This window comes from Homo sapiens, chromosome 2, assembly GCF_000001405.40.
Source record: "Homo sapiens chromosome 2, GRCh38.p14 Primary Assembly".
Lineage (NCBI taxonomy): Eukaryota > Metazoa > Chordata > Mammalia > Primates > Hominidae > Homo > Homo sapiens.
In genome coordinates this window covers 39,072,505-39,093,841 of record NC_000002.12, presented here as the reverse complement: position 1 = coordinate 39,093,841, position 21,337 = coordinate 39,072,505, and the positions used below count along the sequence as shown (strand labels likewise).

The 21,337-nt window shown below is 38.2% G+C and overlaps 1 protein-coding gene and 1 pseudogene across 8 annotated transcripts in view, besides 1 other annotated feature; one reads left to right on the top strand and one right to left on the bottom strand.

Moving 5' to 3' along the window:
• Positions 1-21,337, top strand: part of SOS1 (SOS Ras/Rac guanine nucleotide exchange factor 1) — a 143,320-nt gene that overhangs the window by 31,027 nt on the left and 90,956 nt on the right. Inside the window, exon 1 of one of the 8 annotated variants that reach the window (XM_011533064.3) lies at positions 14,760-18,435. The exons of the other annotated variants lie outside the window; for them this stretch is intronic. The gene's annotated coding sequence lies outside the window, so the exon portion shown is untranslated. Of the gene's footprint in view, positions 1-14,759; positions 18,436-21,337 lie in introns of those variants that run through there. 8 annotated transcript variants of the gene reach the window in all.
• Positions 488-537: a silencer, noted in NCBI's record as "silent region_11383". NCBI's record gives its function as "represses an Ori minimal core promoter by ATAC-STARR-seq in GM12878 lymphoblastoid cells {active_cell/tissue: GM12878}" and the evidence as "EXISTENCE:reporter gene assay evidence [ECO:0000049][PMID:35858748]".
• RNU6-198P (RNA, U6 small nuclear 198, pseudogene) lies at positions 11,150-11,253 on the bottom strand (annotated as a pseudogene).

The window sequence follows — 21,337 nt, the reverse complement described above, 5'->3', positions numbered from 1 at the left end:
CTTCCAGTAAAAGTAGCAATGTATCCTTTTAAAGAGACTGGAAAGGCCTTCCATTTGGCTTTCCATGATTGCCACTCCATCACATTCAAAAGTCAAAGTCGTTAAGTGATCTGGCCTCCTACTATCTCTCTGATCTCATCTCCAGCTCTGCTGGCTCTGCTGACTCTGCTGTAGTCACACTGGTCTCCTTGCTGTTTGCTCCTCTAAACAATCTCGTGTCTCTGGGCTTCTGTGCTTGTCATTCCCTCTCATTTCTTAACAAATAGATTAGATATTGTGTTAAATAATCTTAATTTAGTGAAGACCTACCAGAATATATTTGTTGAGTGTGAAAATTATCTCTGAACAGAACTGCTTATATACTTGGCAATGGCATTGTAATCAGAAAGACTCAACACCTTTATGTCGGACTCTGACCCTCTTATGTCTTGGTGGAAGTGAAAGTGTAAGTGGTACCAAGTCATTTGGATTGCCAGTACTTTGCTATAGAGTACACAAATGTGCCTCATTGCAATAACACTAGAAGTTGTTTACTACTGTAGTTTACTAAGAACTAACCACATAGATGATCATGCATTTCAGGAAAATATGATAGAAATAGGAAAGATTCTAACCCAGGTCTTAATTATTCACATACGGAAGAATGGCCTGTATATCTTCATTATATGTGTAGGGGAAAATAGTGCCTATCTTTCAAGATCATTGGAAGGTTAGAGATCCTTTTGTTAAATCATGTTAGTTTAAAAAATGCATTTATTTAAAAAAGTATTTCTGTAGTATTAATAACTGATTTTTTGACATCTTTGTATATGCTTAACGTGGCTTTTTAAGAGTCACAGTTTACCAAAGAAGTAATATTGCCTCATTAAATTTCTGAAGTTAACATTGTAGCACTTTGATATTTAGAAGTAAATTATCATTTTCATTTTAAACTTTTAATTTGGGAATTTAAGTATTATGAAGTTTTTCTCAAATGCCTAGTTTGGAGAGACTATTTTTACAACTAATTTAGAGCTTTCAAGTGGATTTAAATTTGTCTTGCTTTGAAGATATTTTATTTCATATCACGCTTTCAGATTTCTTTTAGTTTTGTAAAATTTCAAGTTGCTTTTTCTTGAATTATAAATTTATTTAGTGTGTTTTGGTTTTTAATCATTTCATTTATTCATTCAACCCACCAACAGAAATGCCAAGCAGTGTTCTAGATACCAGGAGAAATCGGGTGATGAGACAAAGTCTCTTACATTCTGGTAGGAGAAAGCAGACAAATAAACAGACAAAGAAATACTGTAGTTTTAGATAACAGTAAGTAAAATAAAGAAAATAAAGGAGGTTGTGATAAGTAGGGTCTGAGAGGCAGGAGAGCAGGGGATACTCTTAAAAATAATGGTCGAGGACAGCCTCTCTGAGGAGGTGACATTTGAGAAGAGACCAGAATGTTCAGAAGCAGCCAATAATGCAAAAAATCTGGTGGAGGAGCACCCTAGAAGAGGGTAGTTAGTGTAAGATCTTGAAGCAAGACAAGCTTGGGGTGCGCAAGAAACATCAAGACAAGCAGTATGTGCAGTGAGCCATGATCCTCCCACTACACTCCAGCCTGAGTGAAAGAGTGAGACCCTGTCTCCAAAAAGAAAAAAGAAAAAAAACCAGTATGACTAGAGTATAGCATATGTGAAGAAGAGTGAGAAAAATTACGTTTGGAGACAGAGACAGGGACCACTTCATGTAGGGCTTTAGCACTAGTGATAGTAGAACACTCAAGGATTTTAGGCGAAGGAGTGACATAAACTTAAGTTAAAAATTTATGGTCAATTTGTGAAGAAAAACAGACTTTTGTGGGCGTAATAATGAAGCAAAGTGATTATTTTAGAAGAAAGAGGTGATGGCAGTATGAACTAGTAGTGTAGGTGGTGAGAAATGATCATAATTGGGCTATGTTGTGTCCATTGGAGTAAACCATTAGGAGAGAATGGTGACTTGGAAGTTAAATGAAGAAGGAGTGGCAAGAAAGTGGAAGTGGTCAACTGTCATACTGCCAAGAGGTCAGATGAGATGCGGGCAGGGATTTAGTCCTGGCCGTATTATAGAATGGCATCCCCTGGTGACCATGACAGCCCTGGGTGGAGAAGCCTGGGGGGCTGGTATAGAAAAGGTGACTGTGGAGATCCTTTTGAGGAATCTGCCTCTGAAAGGCAAAGAATGTGGTGAACACTGGGGGATGTGAGGACAAGGAAAACTTTTTTTTTTTTTTCGAGTTCTTTTATATGCCAATAGGAGTGATCCCGTTATGTTTAAGTTCATTTTTTTGTTCATGAATGAGGTGAGGCTTTCCTGAGCTAAAACAGTAGAAAAAAGGAGTTGGAAAAGAGTTAAGGGGCTTATAGACGATTATTTATACCTATGGGAAAGTTGAATTTTTCATTTGGATTCACAGGTGAAACATCAAAAGTTGAACACGCTGCATTATGTAATTTCATTCACTTATTCATAGTGTAGTACTTGAGCTGCTTAAGTACCAGGAACTAGGGTACAAAGGTAAGACATGCTCACTACCCTCAAGGAGGTAAAAATCCAGCAAATAAACAGATGTGTACACTCTCACTGCACAAAGGACATTCCTCAGACCAGCAGTGTTGGTCCCACCTGAGAGGTTGATAAAAATACCAAATGCTTGGCCAGGCCTAGTGGCTCATACCTGTAATCCCAGCACTTTGGCAGGCCAAGGCGGGTGGATCACCTGAAGTCAGGGGTTTGAGACCAGCCTGACCAATATGGTGAAACCCCGTCTCTACTAAAAATACAAAAATTAGCCAGGTGTGGTGGCGTGCACCGGTAGTCCCATTTACTCGGGAGGCTGAAACAGGAGAATCGCTTGAACCCAGGAGGTTGAGGTTGCAGTGAGCCAAAATCGCAACACTGCACTCCAGCTTGGGTGACAGAATGAGACTCTGTTTCAAAAAACAAACAAACAAAACAACAACAACAAAAAATGTTCTACCCAAGAACTACTGAATTGGAAGCTGTATTTTTTACAAAATTGCTAGGTGATTTAAGTTTGAAAAGCACTGATATACATAAACTATACATTAAAAAGATGTGATAAGCACTAAAGTTTTTGTTTGTTTGTTTGTTTGTTTGTTTGTTTTGAGATAGAGGCTCGTTCTGTCGCTCAGGCTGGAGTGCAATGGCGCGATCTGGGCTCAATGCAACCTCCACCTCCCAGGTTCAAGCAATTCTCCTGCCTCAGCCTGTCTAGTAGCTGGGATTACAGGCGCCTGCCACCATGCCTGGCTAATTTTTGTATTTTTAATAGAGATGGGGTTTTGCCATGTTGGCCAGGCCAGTCTCGAATTCCTGACCTCAGGTAATCCGCCCACCTCGGCCTCACAAAGTGCTGGGATTACAGGCATGAGCCACCACACCAGGCCTGCTAAAGATTCTTACAAACAAAAAATACTGTATGTAAGAGCTCAGTTACTATGTTACTATGTCAACCAGCCCCCAGCCCCCACAAAGAAGAGAAATGATCATAGAGGAAAAAGTTGGATCAGACATTTCTCTGGATTGGCATATTAAAAGGTGCTTGATAAGAGTTTGTTGAACTAAACTAGCCCTAGGCGCTACCATTTGAAGATGAATTATTTGCTATTTAGTAGTCTGCATTTAGTGTTTATGCACAGAGTGTTTTTTTTTTTTTTTTTTGAGACAGGGTCTCACTCTGTTGCCCAGACTGGAGCGCAGTGGTGTTATCTCAGCTTACCACAACCTCTGCCTCCCAGGCTTAAGTGATTCTCTGGCCTCAGCCTCCCAAGTAGCTGGGATTACAAGCGTGTGCCACCATGCCTGGCTAATTTTTTTTTTTTTTTTTTGTATTTTTAGTAGAGACGGGATTTCACCATGTTGTCCAGGCTGGTCTCGAACTCCTAACCTCAAATGATCCACCTTCCTCTGCCTCCTAAAGTACTGGGATTACAGGTGTGAGCCGCTGTGCCTGGCCCAGAGTTTTTGTAAATAGATTATTTCAATAAAAAGAGTGAGATTCAGATCTCAGAAAGAGAGGATAAATGAAAGCCAAGATTACATCAGTTGATTGACTATACTAGTACCATGAACATGGGAAGTGTTAGGATATGAAGATAAGTGAGACAGTCACTGCCCTCTAGTAGGAGACTCAAGGACATTTATTTTACTTTTTGGGTTATAATCCAATACTATTGCTACTTATTTTGTTGTGTAAATTGTTGCAGCGTTGGTCATTGGGAGCTTTTTTAGGTTGGCTTCTTTTCTTTCTTTCTTTTTTTTTTTTTTTTTGGAGACAGAGTCTTGTTCTTGTTGCCTAGGCTGGAGTGCCATGGCACAATGGCTCACTGCAACCTCCACCTCCCAGGCTCAAGCAATTCTCATGCTTCAGCCTCCCGAGTAGCTGGGATTACAGGTGTGTGCCACCATGCCTGGCTAATTTTTTGTATTTTTAGTAGAGATGGGATTTCACCATGTTGGCCAGTCTAGTCTTGAACTCCTGACCTCAAGGTGATCTGCCCATGTTGGCCAGGGATGGCCAAAGTGCTGAGATTACAGGTATGGGCCACTGTGCCGGGCCAGGTTGGCTACTTTTGAACACTACTTTATGAGTCAACTTTCTTGCTCGTTTCTTCCCTATTTTGAGGGCTGCCTAATATTGAATCAGTGTTTTATGAAGAATATGATCTCTTAACTGGCCACTCTGTCAGTATCACGAGAGGTGTTTTGTTTTGTTTTGTAAAGGCACACTCATCATTAGCGAAATGGGAATGAAAACCACAGTGAGATACCACTTCATACCAATTAGGGTGGCTATTATTTAAAATAAAAAACCAAAAATGAAAACCAAAGGACAGCCATATGGATGTAAAGAAATTGGAAACTGTGCATTGCTGGTGGGAATCTAAAATGGTATAGCTTCTGTAAAAAACAGTATGGCAGTTCATCAAAAAACTAAATATAGAATTACTATATGATCTAGTAGTTCCACTTCTAGCTATTGAAAGCAGGGATTTGAACAGATATTTGTACACCAGTGTTTATAGGCAGCACTTTTCACAATAGCCAAAAGGTAGAAACTAACCACATGTCAGTTACCAGATGAATAGATAAATGTAGTATATACATGCATGTAATAGAATACTATTCAGCCCTAGAAAGGAATAGAATTCTGATGCTGCAGCATGGGCGAATCTTGAAAATATTTTACTAAGTGAAAGAAGCCAAAAATAAAAGGACAAATACTATATGATTTCACTTCTGAGATACCTAGAATAGTTCAATTCATAGAGACAGAAAGTAGAATGGTAGTTTCCAGAGCCTGCAGGGAGGAGGAATTGGGGAGTTATTGTTTAACAGGTGCAGAGTTCCAGGCCAAGATGATGAAAAAGTTCTGGAGATGGATAATGGTGATGGTTGCACAACAATGTCACTGAATTATGCATGTAGAAATGGTTAAATGGTAAATTTTGTGTTGTGTGTATTTTACCACAGTTGAAAAAAAAAGTCACTTCCTTCGCTCCATCTCAGGCATACTAAAGTAGAATTTCTAGTGGTCGGGCCCAGAATCCTGCATTTAAAAAAAAAGAAAAAAGCTTTTCAGTTTATTGTTATGCATGGTTTAAGAACCACTGATAGGTGGGATTATCTAATGGAAAGTGGGGTAAACTGGATTTTGTTGGTATTATCTTTAAAGAGAAATTTATCCGATTGATGAATTAAAGTATAATCTTCATCTAGATTTTTATGTTTAATTCAGCTGTTAATATTTACACATTACTTCATGTGGTAATGTGAATAATGACTACTAATAATTATTTAGCATTCTACCACATTTTAAAGCACTTTCGGCTGGGTGCAGTGGCCTGTGATCCCAGCACTTTGGGAAGCCGAGGCAGGAGGATTACTTGAGCCCAGGAGTTCAAGACCAGCCTGGGCAATGTGGCTAAGCCCCATCTCTAAAAAAATTTTAAAAATTAGCTGGGCATGGTGGCACACACCTGTAGTCCCAGTTACGCTAGAGGCCGAGGTGGGAGGACCTCTTGATCCTGGGAGGAGAGGGGAGGCAAAGGTTGCAGTGAACCAAGATTGCACCACTGCACTCCAACCTGGGTTACAGAGACTCTGTCTCAAAAATAAAATAAAATAAAGCACTTTCTGATATGTGATCTCATTTGATCATCATGTTATCCTCTGGTGGTGATAATTGCCATTTTCAGGCGAGACGCTTGAGACTTTGGAGATTGAATGAGTTGCCTAAGATCATACAGATAAAGTCAGATGTCCAAGATAGATCTGATTACAACTCCTCTTAGCAGTCTCCAAGAAAAGAGCAGGTGTTATTCAGGCCATTGTAAATATTCTGTGTTTAATTGTTTTGTGACAAAAATGTAAAATTACTAAGTTAATCATGAACCATAGACTTAAGACCACTTTATTATGTAAACATGGCTGTTATCATATGACAGCTCCACTGTTCTTGCCATGTTGGCAGTGGTTAATATTTACGAAACTAAGATACTTTATTTTGTCTAGGAAAGTATTCTTATGAAGTATTACTATGTTAATACTTAATAAATACTAATTAATATGATTTATCTGGAAATCTAAAGCAGATCTATGATTCTGTGGCAGTTTTTCTTCCCTTGCATTGAAGCGGCCTCTATACCCAACCATTTGTGCATAATACTATAATTTTCAAAAACTGTCACCAGATGCAGTGGATCATGCCTATAATCCCAGCACTTTGGGAGGCTGAGGTGGGTGGATCACCTGAGGTTAGGAGTTCCAAGACCAGCCTGGCCAAAATGGCAAAACCCCGTCTCTACTAAAAATACAAAAATTAGCCAGATGTGGTGGTGGGCGCCTGTAATCCCAGCTACTTGGGAGGCTGAGGCAGGAGAATTGCTTAAACCGGGGAGGCAGAGGTTGCAGTGAGCCAAGATCATGCCACTGCACTCCAGCCTGGGTGACAGAATGAGACTCCGTCTCAAAAAAAAAAAGAACAACAACGCAACTGTGACTATTTCCCTTTTGAAGAATGTATTTGCCACAGTTGAGCCCAGGAGTCAGCAGACTCCCTTCCTTTCCTAGAACATCCAGCCATGTTTTAGTAAAGTAGAAAGATGTGGGGAAAAGCCGTTTCTAGTGTTCCTGTTTTACACTAATTTTCCTCTGGCCTTCCTGTTTACCAACATGGAATTGTCGGGGAAGGGCATTTTTATTTTATAGTGATTTAATATCTAACCACTTCTTATTTTGATAGGATAGGGCATTATATGATAAAATCATTAAAAATGTAATTCAGGCTTGCTTACCAATATCTAATATGTTAAACTGCCTATTTGCTAATTGCATGTCTGAAAGATCTCAAGCATAATGGAGTCCAGAACTCTTGATCTCTTGTTCCCTCTCCCACTTATGAAAACATCTGCTCATCTTACAGTATTCCTTATCCTAGTATATGCACCTGTATCTGGCCAGTGATCTGGGCCCTACCTAACTCCATTTCATTTCCTTTACTCTTCCCTTCACTTGTATATAGTCTGCTTCCTTTGCCTAGAATGTTATCCCTCTCACTTCACCAATATACTTTTCACCTAAATTCTGCTCACCCTTCAGCTTTCAACTTTAATCTTTTCCGAACCACTAGATTAACTTAGGCACCCATTTAGTAGCCTCTTGGTATCCTGTACTTTAACAAGAACATCAATAATGGCTACAGGTAACGTTTATTAAAGATTGGCAATATATTGGTATGTAATATTACCAGAAGGAGTAAGTAATTCGTGCAGGGTTACACTCTGGTAATTGAAAGAACAAAGATTTTAATGTAGGCAATGTAGCCCACACTTAACCTTTTTACTACTCTGCCTCTTACATAGTTATACTTTTGTTTATTATTATGTTTAAATAAATTATTTGTTTAATGTCTAGTTCCCCTATTGTACTTCTAAGCTCCTTGAGGGTGGGGCCTGTGTCTCTTATACTATCTGTTGAATGTGTGCATATATCATATTTGGGATATAGCCTTTGCATTACTCAGAAAGTCTGAAAATTGATAAAAATTTGTAGGTGGAATTCACAGATGACATTGACCGTTTTATTGTCTACAAATGATGGTTTCTATAAATGTGAAGCAATCTGTTTAGTTCATCTAGTAAATCAGTTTACTGTGAAGTGGTTGTATATCAAGGAACGTGATTCATTTGGAGAAGTTTGAATTTGAAAAGTTTTTTTCCTTGCTTGTTATGGCTTTGGTTTACTAAAAACTAGAATCTCCTGCTTAGAGGTTATGGGCAAATTAATTGGTGAAGATAGTAGAAAGACACTTGGATCACAGTTGCTATCTGTTGGCATTTTAAGGAAGACTGCCAATGATAGACAGTAGACACACATCACATGTATTGTGAATTGCCATTCCAGCTTAAAAATACCTCTTAAAATGTGGTTGAAACTTAAAATAGGGTAGGATAACTGCATGTGGTGGCCCATGCCTGGAATACCAATACTTTGGGAGGCCAAGGCAGGAGGATCGCTTGAGCCCAGGAGTTTGAGACCATCCTCAGCAACATAGTGAGACACCCATTTCTACAAAAAAAAAGAAAAATTAGCTGAGCATGGTGGTGTATGCCTGTAGTCCCAGCTTCTCAGGAGGCTGAGGTGGGAGAATCACTTGGGCCCAGGAGGTCAAGGCTGCAGTGAGCTGTGAACACGACACTGCAGTCCAACCTCATGACAGAGTAAGACCCTGTCTCAAAAAAATAAATAAATACAAATAAAAATAGGATAGGATAGATGGGAACACTAGCAGAGAAAACACTGGGAATTTGATAAAGCGCCCCATCTGTGTCAGGACATCATTGATAAAGGGATACATGCCACTTTTGGAAGATAAAGAGCATAGTTGAAGAGGAACTAAAAAATCATCAGAGACTCTTTTCTTGAGTCAGTTCCTTGCTTTATTGGTGGGAACTCTGTTATCACATAGTAATATTTTTAAAAAGTTGTTTAGGAAGGTCATACTGTTTTTAAAGCAAAACACATGAAAAATGATATGAATTTAGCACTTGACACATGTTTGGAATTTGATGTGTATAGTTATTTTCTGTGGGAAAGGACTTTAAATATGTCTTTCCCATGGCTAATATATACACTGGCGTAAACCACATACCAATGAAAATTTTTAATTAAATTTATATTTTATTTTATATACACATAGACATAAATGTTATAAATGTGCACAAATATGAGTAATTTTTAGTAGAGCTTTGGGGGAGGAATGATTCATTCTTTCCCCCTTTTTCTTCTCTTCTCTTCACATCCCTGCCTTGCCCAGGACCATTTATAACCCATGTTGACAACAAAGGTTATATTCTTCCATATTTTTCTCCATGCTGTCCTGCTCGTGTATAAATATATACTTAATTTATAATTACACATACACGTGTATATATGTATATGTGGTTTTTTTGAGAATTCTATGTATTTTACATTTTTTAATGAGTTTTCTCACTTAAGAATACCTTCTTTTTTCACTTAAGAATACCTCACTTAATAGCTCTAATATGTTCTTTTTAATGGCTACATATATAGTTGTATTAGTTTGCTAGGGGTGCCATAATAAGTACCACAGACTAAGTGGCTTAAACAACAGAAATTAGTTTTCTCATAGTTTTGGAGGCTAGAAGCCCAAGATGAAGATGTTGGTGGGTTGTTTTTTTCTGAGGTCTCTCTCCTTGGCTTATAGATGGCTGTCTTCTCCCTGTTTCTTCACGTGGTCTGTCTTCTGTGTTCAAATTTTCTCCTCTTATTAAGGATACCAGTCTTGGATTGGATTCAGGCCTACCCTAATGACCTCATTTTAACTTAATTACCTCTTTAAAGACTTTATCTCAAAATACATTCACATTCTGAGGTGCTGGGGCTTAGGGCTTCATATGAATTTTGGAGGGACACTATTCAGCCCATAACAATCATATTCCACAGTGTATCCAACCATTCCCTTACTGGTGGTCATTTACATTATTTTTGTTTTTTGCCACCATGCAATAAAATCTTTGTATGTATATCCTTTTATTTTTACAGGATAAATTCCCAAAAGTGGATTTTCTGGGCAAAGGATATATTTTAATTTTGATAGTGGTTGCCAGATTACTTTTCAAAAAGTCTTATCAGTTAGCATTTCTACTTGTAAGGTATGAGAATAACTTTTTCCAAGAACAGTCTATATTGAGGATCCCTCTTCCCATCTTTCTCCTCCCATCTACTCCTCAACTGCTTATAATTTGGGTTTTGCTCCAGCTACTCTATTCATATTCTTCTCCAAAGGCCACTAATTATGTGCTATTGCTACATTAATTGTTCTTTTAAAAATATTCTGTTTGCGTTTTGCAACATTTGAAGCTCCTGGAGACTGGTTTTTGTATATTACTTCTCCTGACTTCCTTAAGAATATACCCTAACCACCATTTCCTGATTCTTTTGCCTCATCTTCATCTGCTTGCTGCTTGGATGTAGGTGCTTCACTAGATTCCATTCTGCTTTAAATTGCTCCTGTCCACCTTGGACTGGGAGATTTTTATCTACTTGTACTATTTCTATTACCTGTGTGAAAGTTAATCATCCGAATTGGGTCATTTTTGTCATACCCAACTAAATCAGTAGAGGGGCCAAGGGGAAAAAGCATTCAGGGTCTGTAACATTGCTCTAGAAATGTAATTCTCTGCAAGTCCAGCAGCTAGAACTGCCTATTTATATAAACAAAAACCAATTTTATCTACGTCTGCTGAGATAACTTGCTACAACTCTGGGACTAATTTTGCTCACCAACTGGAGTTTGCCAGCTCCCCAAAGCCTTACTAATACCGATAAACTTTCTATCAAGACCACATATAACATTTCCTCTTCTTTATAAAACCCCCAACCATATCTTTGTTGTTTGGACATACTGAAGACCACCCAGTCTACGTGTATGCCCCAAAGTACAATTCTTTCTTCCCAAATAAAACGTTAAATTTAGAGGTTTGCATCTACATTTTTATTTTGACCTTGACACCTGTAGGTGATTGGTTGAATTCCAGATCCATGTTTTCGGCCTTAAGCTCTCTTTTTTAAAAAAATTAAAATAAAAGTAATGGAACGCTTCACAAATATACATGTCATCCTTGCGCAGGAGCCATCCTCATCTCTGTATCGTTTCGTTTTCAGTATACGTGCTGCCAAAGCGAGCACTAAGCTCTTTTTTGAGCCTCAGACCTAGCTAGATTTCAACCTGTACTCTAATAAATTTAAAGTAAAATTTACCGTAAGATACCTCTGGGGTTTTTCTCTGTTTCTCTTTATTCTTTCATTAACATAGATCCAGTTTTTTGGTTTTTTTTGCCAGAAATGTAGAGGAAAAGGAAAAGATGCAGTACCACAAAGCTAACAATAGAGCAAGTGATGTAAGTTCTGTGAGGACTGGAACTTTGTCTTATTCTGCTTTTCCCAGATGCCTACTATACTGCTTAGCATATGTGAACCCATCTAAAAACAAAATCCACCAAAAAACTCTTATGAATTAAATATTAATAATTAACTATTTACTATTTCCAATTAGTCTTAAAGATTGAACAGGCAAGTTTTGTAGCGGGGATGTGGGGATGGCTACTGGGTACAAAAAGTAATTAGAATGAATAAGACCTAGTATTTGATAGCACAACAGGGTGACTAGTCAGTAATAATTTAATTGTACATTTTTAAATAACTGAAAGTATAATTGGATTGTTTGTAACACAAAGGGTAAATGCTTGAGGGAATGGATACCCCATTTACCATGACATAACTATTATGCATTACATATCTGTATCAAGTATCTTATGTACCCCATAAATATATGCACCTATGTACCCACAAAATTTTTTTTAAAAATTGGTTTTACCAAAAAAGGTTGAATAAGCAAGTTTTTATAAAAATATTTACCAATATTTATTAATTTAATAACTATGAACATTCTTTTTTTTTTTGAGACAGAGTCTTGCTCTGTTGGCCAGGCTGGAGTGCACTGATGCTAATTGCAACCTCTGCCTCCTGGGTTCAAGTGATTCTCCTGCCTCAGCCTTCCAAGTAGCTGGGATTACAGGCGCCCGCCGCCAAGCCTGGCTAATTTTTGTATTTTTAGTAGAGACGGCGTTTCGCCATGTTGGCCAGGCTGGTCTCGAACTCTTAACCTTAGGTAATCTGCCTGCCTTGGCCTCCCAAAGTGCCGGGATTACAGGCGTAAGCTACCGTGCTTGGCAAATTTCCTTTATCTTTTTTTTACCGAGGACAGTCTCACTCTGTTGCCCAAGGTAGAATGCAGTGGCGCGATCTCGGCTCACTGCAACCTCCGCCTCCAGGGTTCAAGTGATTCTCCTGCCTCAGCCTCCCCAGAAGCTGGCATTACAGCTGCACATTGCCATGGCCGGCTAATTTTTGTATTTTTATTAGAGACGGGGTTTCACCATGTTGGCCAGGCTGGTCTCGAACTCCTGACCTCCAGTGATCCGCCAGCCCACGCTTCTCACAGTGCTGGGATTACAGGCCTGAACCACCACACCCAGCCACTATGAACATTCTTTACTAATAAATAAACACTATCTTGCATTACAGCTACAAAAATTATTTTTTGTTCTTGTTTTTGAGACAGGGTCTCCAGCCACTCCAGGCTGGAGTGCAGTGGCAAAATCATGGATCACTGCAGCTTTGAACTCCTGGGGTCAGCTTCCTGAGTAGCTGGGACCACCCAAACCCAGCTAATTTTTTTATTATTTTTTTTTTGGAGAGACAAGGTCTCACTTTGTTGCCCAGGCAGGTCTTGAACTCCTAGGCTCAAGCAATACACCTGCCTCAGCCTTCCAAAGTGCTGGTATTATAGGCATGAGCCACTGTTCCTGGCCTTACAAAAATTATTTTGTAGGTTGTATTTTAGCTAGCCTATCACAATTCTTCCAAGTTTTTAAATGGTTTCTGTTGCTTATAAAATATTATTTATTGATAGCCAACAAATTCTAATTTGGGTATTGCTAGGCTATCAGTGCAAAAAAAAAAATTGCAGTTAAAAACTTGTAAAATCTCATATGCCTAAATACCAGGACCGCGTTTATAGTTGTATCAATTTATTTGTTTTTCTCAATACTCAGCATCCAAATTAAAAATAGGAGTATTTTTGTTTACTTTAAAAAGTGATATACTGTTTATGTTTTGTAACATTCATTGAAGAAAATACTTAAGACTTTCAAAACTAGAAAAATATTATTTTAATTTCTTAAAGCTTTGAAATATACATTGAAAAGAGTACATATAACCTCAGTTTAAATGTTCAGTTTAAATCAGGGGTCCCCAACCCCCAGGCTACAGACTGATACTGGTCCATGGCCTGTTAGGAACCAGGCCGCACAGCAGGAGGTGAGCAGTGGGTGAGTGAGCAAAGCTTCATCTGTATTTACAGCCACTCACCATCATTCGCATTACCGCCAAAACTCCGCCTCTTTTCAGATCAGTGGAGGCATCAGATTCTCAGGAGCCTGTTGTGAACTGTGCATGTGAGGCATCTAGGTTGCGTACTCCTTATGAGAATCTAATGCCTGATGATCTGTCACTGTCTCCCATTCCCCCCCATATGGGACCATCTAGTTGCAGAAAAACAAGCACAGGGCTCCCATTGATTGTACATTATGGTGAGTTGTATAATTATTTTATTATATATTACAATGTAATAATAGAAATAAAGTAAACAATAAATGTAATGCACTTGAATCATCCCGAAACCATCCTCCCCACCCGAGTCTGTGGAAAAGTTGTCTTGCCTAGAACTGGTCCTGGTGCCAAAAAGGTTGGGGACCACTGACTTTAGGCATGCTTCCCCACCCACCTCCTCCTAGTCTGTGGAAAAATTGTCTTCCACAAAACCAGTCCCTCATGCCAAGAAGGTTGGAGACTGCTGGTTTAAATAATAATGAAATGAACATGTATGTACCTAACATACAGGTTAAAAAATGAAGTATTTCTGGCCAGGCACAGTGGCTCATGCCTGTAATCCCAGCACTTTGGGAGGCCAAGGTGGGCAGATCACGAGGTCAGGAGTTTGAGACCAGCCTGACCAACATGGTGAAACTCTGTCTCTACTAAAAATACAAAAATTAGCCGGGCATGGTGGCACGTGCCTGTAATCCCAGCTACTGAGGAGGCTGAGGCAGGAGAATTGCTTGAACCCAGGAGGTGGAGGTTGCAGTGAGCCGAGATCACACTACTACACTCCAACCTGGGCGACAGAGCGAGACTCCGTCTCAAAAAAAAAAAAAAAAAAAAAAAAATTCGAACACTTTTAAAGGCTTCTTTGGTTTCCTTACTGATTACATCTTCTTTCCCTTCCCCTGGAGGTAATAGCTGAGTTTTAGATTAATCAACTACTTAAATTACTTTATAGTTTTGTCATTAAGTATAAATTAATAAACAATGAACATAGTTTGGTTTTGCTTTTTTATGAACTTGATATAAATGGATCGTATTGTTTCTATTGTTCTGTAACTTATATTTTTGCCCCATTTTATGTTTTGGAGATTTCATTTATGTTATTGTGTAACTTTTAGGTCATTCATTTGTGCTGGTAAGTAATATTCATTTTCTAAATCTACTGCAATGTATTGTTAACATTTTTGTGCTTGTTCATCTGTTGTGCACATATAAGAGTTCTATAATGTAGCAGTCCTCAACTTTTTTTTTTTTTTTTTTTTTTTTTGGGAGACAGAGTCTCCCTCTTGTCACCCAGGCTGGAGTGCAGTGGCGCAATCTTGGCTCACTGCAACCTTCACCTCCCAGGTTCAAGCAATTCTCCTGCCTCAGCCTCCCAAGTAGCTGGGACTACAGGCGTATGCCACCGCATCTGGCTAATTTTTGTATTTTTAGTGGAGACAGGGTTTCACCATGTTGGCCAGGATGATCTCGATCTCTTGACCTCATGATCTGCCTGCCTTAGCCTCCCAAAGTGCTGGGATTACAGGCATGAATCACCGCGCCCGGCCAGTCCCCAACCTTTTTGGCACCAGGGACTGGTTTTGTGGAAGACAATTTTTCCATGGTGGGGGAATGTTTTGGGGATAAAACTCTTTCACCTCAGATCACCAGGCATTAGATTCTCATAAGGTGTGCAACCTAGATCCCTCACATGCACAGTTCACAGTAGGGTTCACGGTCCCATGACAATGAGAATCTAATGCTCCTATTGATCTGACAGACAGAGCTCAGGTGGTAATGCTCCCCGGTAGGCTGCTCACCTGCTCTGTGGCCTGGTTCCTAATGGGGTTTGAGGAGATTTATTGGTTGGCAGCCAGGTGTTGGGGACTCCTCCAATAATGTACTTAGAAGTAGAATTGCTGGATCATAATGTGTGTGTGTATTTGACTTTACTAAGTAATGTTAAACTTTAATCCAAATTGTTATTTTATATTCCCACCAGTAATGGGTGAAAATTCACATTTCTTTATGTCTTTACCAATACTTGATATTCTTAGATTTTAGAATTTTTGTCAAAATAGTAGGTGTAAAATAATGTCTTATGGTTTTTATTTGTATTTACTTGAATACAAATAAATACAAGGCTGAGGCTTGAGATTGAGATTGAGATTGAGGCTGAGCACCTTTCTAATATTTATGGGGCAGTTGTGTTTCCCCTTCCATGAAATGTCTGTACATGACTTTTGCCCATTTTAGAAAACTGAGGATTTGTTTTTATTAAAACTTTGTTATTATTTATCCTGGATATTTCCTTTATAGGTTATATGTGTCCCAGTGTGTGACTTATCTTTCCACTTTTTGTGATATGTTGATTAAGCAGTAGTTCTTAATGAAATTGAATTAGAATTTTTCTTCATTTTATACTTCTTGTGTCTTTCTAAATAAATTCTTTCCTAACTCAGGTTATAAAGATATCCTGCTATGCTTTTACTAAAAGTTTCTGAATCTTTTGCTTATCACCGTTATGTACTTGATCCATCTTCAGTTGGTTTTTATATATGGTATGTGATAGGGAATAATTTGCCAATGTCCTAGCACTATATATTGGATGATCCATCCTTTCCTCATGAATCTATACTACTGGCTCTTGTTTTATATTATTTTCATACAAGATCTGTATACAAGCTCTCCATTACGGTGGTCTTTCTGTTTCTGCACTAATATCTTAGTATCTTAATCACTGTAGCGTAATCATGTCTTTATCTGGCAGGAAAAATAGTTTTTTGCCTGATTTTTCTTTAGGAGTGCCTTAGTTGTTCTTGGCTCTTCTAAATTTAGGATCAGCATCTCAATTTTTCAGAAAATTGTTTCAATTTTAATAGGAATTATAATGTTTAGAGTATAGGACAATTGACATCTTGAGATATTATGGTACTTCCTTAATACTATTTAAGGTCTTCTAAATGTCATTCATTAAAGTTTAAAAATTTTTCTTCATAAAGGATTTTCTTTCTTTTTTTTTTTTTTGGAGAAGGAGTCTCACTCTGGCACGATCTCGGCTCACTGCAGCCTCCGCCTCCTGGGATCAAGCAATTCTTAGCCTCAGCCTCCCAAGTAGCTAAGATTACAGATGCACACCACCACACCCAGTTAATTTTTGTATTTTTAGTAGAGACAAGGTTTTACCATATTTGTCAGCCTGGTGTCGAACGCCTGACCTCAAGTGATCCACCTGCCTTGGCCTCCCAAAGTGCTGGGATTACAGGCGTGAGTCACTGTGCCCAGCCCATAAAGGTTTTATACACATTTTATAAGATTATTTTCCTAATTATTCTATTACTTTATTTTTGCAACTATCATTAAAAAATTATATTTTCTGTTTGTTGCTTATGTAGGAGTGCAACTATCTTTTATAGATTATTTCAACAATTTTACTAAACTCACTTATTAACTCTTGTAATTTTTCTATAGATTCTTTTGGGTTTTCAATTAGAATAATTATATTACCTGCAAATAATAACAGTTTTATTCCTTCCTTTCCAATCCTTTTTATCTTATTGGCTAGGACCTCCAGACAATGTTGAGTAGACATTGTGATAGTAGGTATCCTTGTCTTGTCCCTGGTTTTAAAGGTAGTTCTTTTAGTATTGCACTATTGATTATGATTTTTGTTGTACACTTTTTGTTTATATCCTTTATCAAGTTTAGGAAATGTTCTTCTATTTCTAGGCCCTGAGTTTTTGCTTGTATATTTGTTAGGAACCATGAATTGTTACCTTTTCTGCATCTATTGTCATTTTTCTCCTTTTATCTGTTAATGTGAGAATCACAAAAGATTTACTTTTGTTGAACCAGTCTTAGTTCCTGAAATAAGCCCAAGTCGGTCATGGTGTAGTATCTTTTCTAAACATTCCTAAATTTGGTTTGCTACCCTTATTTTTTTTTTTTTAAGGTAAGGTCTCAGTCTGTCACCCAGGCTGGAGTGCAGTGGTTGATCTTGGCTTACTGCAACCTCCACCTCCTGGGCTGAAGCAATTCTCCCACCTCAGCCTCCCCAGTAACTGGGACCACAGATGTGTGCTACCATGCCTGGCTAATTTTTGTATTTTGGGTAGTGATCGGTTTTTGCCTTGTTACCCAGACTGGTCTCAAAACTCTTGAGCTCAAGCCTCAGCCTCCTAAAGTGGTGGGATTGTAGGCATGAGCCATCACACCCGGCCAAGTTTGCTACTTTTGCTTATGATTTTTTTTCATCTATGTCCATGAACAGTTATTCTTTCCTAGATAGTGTTGGTTTGGTTTAATGTCAGTTGTACACAGCACACATTGTATAAGGTTGGAATTGTCTATTTCTGGAAAGGTAAAATTACATTCTTTGTGGGAAGATTTTAAACCTTTGATACAATTTCTTTAATGATTAGAAAACCATTAGAAATGTTTTATTTCTTTTTGAGTCAGTTTTGATAATTTATAATTTTTAGGAATTTGTTCACTTTACCTAAATGTTCAAAGCTTGATTTGAAGTTTTTCATAATTTTCTCTTTTTAAACTGTTATGTTTGTAGTTATGCCCCTCCTTCTTGTGTATAATACAGTAGTATTTGTGCCTTCTCTTTTTTCTTGATCTTTTAGCAATTTTTCTATTAGTACTTTTCAAAGTGTCAACTTTGTTTTTTATTTTTTTAATTTAAAAAATTTATTATAATATTTTGAGATGGAGTCTGTCTGTTTTCTCCAGGCTGGTCTCGGACTCCTAGACTCAGGTAATCCTCCTGTTTCAGCCTCCCAAGTAGATGGGATTATAGGCGTCAACCACCACACGTGACTTTCAAGTTTGTTTTTTATTTATTAACTGTTGCTTTTCTTTATTTCTTTCCTTCTTTTAGAGGAGAAAAAAAGGCTGAAAAAATTTAGGAGCCACTTGATAAAAAAAGAATTTCAGGTTTGTTTCCCTAGATGTAATACAAGAACCTTAAATTCATATGTCAAACTTGAATTTCTTATCTTTCCTGGAAAATATTGTCTTCTAGTATTTCCTGTCCTAAGTTGGTGGTTCACTCTTGTTGCTGCCCCCACCACCCAAAAAAATAGTTATCCAAGCCTACCTCCTTCTACCTTAACAGGCCCTTCTTTCCCACCTCCCACTGTTTGTGCCTCGGTCCAGGTCTTCAATCTCTCTTCTTATGGAGCCTGTGGCATCATTCCAACTAGTTTTGCTTCCTTCAACCTCATCTCTGTTAACCCATCCTTCATACTGACATTTTTGACTTCAGCAAACAGTCCAATGATGTCCGTGTCTCACTTAAAACCTTACAATTATTTTCTGCTACCCTGATCACTTCCCAACTCCTTAGCATGATATACAACCTGCGCCTTCCAGTCTCCCTACATGTACTTTTTGGTCCATGGTCCAACTTAGTTTCCCCAACACATCATTTTGTTCTTAGTCTCTGTGCCTTTTTTTTTTTTTTTTTTCCTGTTGAGGCAGACTTTTGCTCTTGTTGCCTAGGCTGGAGTGCAATGGCACGATCTTGGCTCACCACAACCTCCGCCTCCCGGGTTCAAGCAAATCTCCTGCCTTAGCCTCCCAAGTAGCTGGGATTACAGGCACGTGCCACCATACCCGGCTAATTTTGTATTTTTAGTACAGACAAGCTTTCTCCATGTTGGTCAGGCTGGTCTTGAACTCCTGACCTCAGGTGATCTGCCTGCCTCGACCTCCCAAAGTGCTGGGATTACAGGCATGAGCCACCGTGCCCAGCCAGAGAAAATATTTTTAGTTTATTTTATTTATGGGAAAGATGTAAGTGCTCTGATTTGTTTGATTTTTGTCTTTTTTTTGTCTTTTGCTCTGCCTCTCGGGTTCAAGCAATTCTCCTGCCTCAGTTGGGACTACAGGTGTGCACCACCACGGCTGGCTAAGTTTTGTATTTTTGGTAGAGATGGGGTTTTGCCATGTTGGCCAGGCTGGTCTATTTTTTTTTTTTTTTCTTTTTTCTGAGATGCAATCTCACTCTGTCACCCAGACTGGAGTGCAGTGGCAGGATCTCAGCTCACTGCAGCCTCTGCCTCCCGGGTTCAAGCGATTCTCCTGTCTCAGCCTCCCCAGTAGCTGGGATTATAGGTGGGCACCACCGCACCTGGCTAATTTTTGTATTTTTAGTACACACGGGGTTTCACTGTGTTGCTCAGGCTTGTCTCAAACTCGTGATCTCAGGTGATCCACCCACCTCGGCCTCCCAAAGTGCTGGGATTACAGGCGTAGGCCACCGCGCCCAGCCCAGGCTGGTCTTAAATTTTATTTCTTGATGAAAGATTTTTGCCTTGTTTTTTAACCTCAGAGTGATAAGCACCTAAAGCATCAAACATTGACTAAAGAATTGTAACACTAAGAAAGAGATTTGATTATTCCGATCTTTATTACGTTTTATCTCAAATTCTGTCTTTATATTTTTAAATAAAAGTAACAGATCTGAGCTCAAGACATGACAGAGCATAATTTAGAAGCTTTTCCAATTCTCCAGAAAGCCATTAGCTAGCAAGGGATATGAAAGATTCATCAGAATTCAACAGAGTATTTTCTGGCAGTTTACCCAAGGGGTTCTTGAATACACTTGGAGAACTCATGTATCAAACAACTAGGAATCGATATACACCTAAATCCCTTTGCCTTTTCAGACTCCACAAAACCTGGCAATAATAGCCAATAAAGTTGCTTCAGAATCTGCTGGAACTTACTAGAGACAAAATGAACTGTCAAGATAGAATCAAGTAGTCCTTAAGGAAGGTTTATAATTCAAGAGTTTTCATCTTTAATTGAATATAGTGATTACTCCTTAAAAGAACAGTTACTATAAAATTCTTATTAAGGCTGTTGTTAATTATTTAGTAAAGTATTTGCATTAATTGTACTTAAATTACTTTAAGAAAATATAAAGAAGTATATGAAATTTTCTGTGTCAGTAAACATAAGTATAAAATGTAATGTTTTTTGAAAACTATTAGGTTGGTGCAAAAGTAATTGATGTTTTGCCATTAAATGGCAAAACCGGGAAAACCCACATAGTTTAGTCCCAATTTGAAATGCTTATTTATAATTGCTCATAAACACACATGCAACTCTGAATCAGCTGTACATGGCTTCTGAAGACTGCCGTAAGATTTGACAGGGTAACCTATTCTGTATAGAGTTAAATAACTTGGATCATTTGATCTATTAAATGTCTCTGAGTACCATTTATGATGGAATGGAGCACTTTGGCTGTAACACTATCTCATGGAATAGAAGTGTGTTTATTCTGCCTACATGTGAAATATAATACTACTTCTGTTTGCTCTTTAAAGAAATATCCTAACAGCATCTTCTTGAAAGAATAAAGAACAGCCTGTGTATTTTTAGGAGTTGGTACTCTGCTTGCGTTTTAAGTATGGACCATTGCCTTTGTTTTTCAGTTAGAGTTTTTAAGTTTTATTTTTGTTTTTAAGGGGGTAAAACAATTTATTGATCTCTTAAATACATGGATGAGTTTTGTGATTCCCATTTGACAGATTTTAAGATGTGAAAATGGTTAATGTCTAGAAGCTTAGAAGTGCAGTTGGCATCACGTGTTATTTTCTGTTTAAGCTAATTCTTTGTTTGATTTATTTAATAGTTCTTATTTGGATATTAGTAACCATCAATAAATAAAACTGAATATGAATTTCCAAAATTTTGCTTATACAAAGTGCCAAACTTAACATTTGAATTATATGTGCTAGAATTATAAGCAGTATCACGTTGTTGTCTTTAACCATTGCATTTTCATTGCATTGTGGCTATATACAACTCTACATAATTAACATCT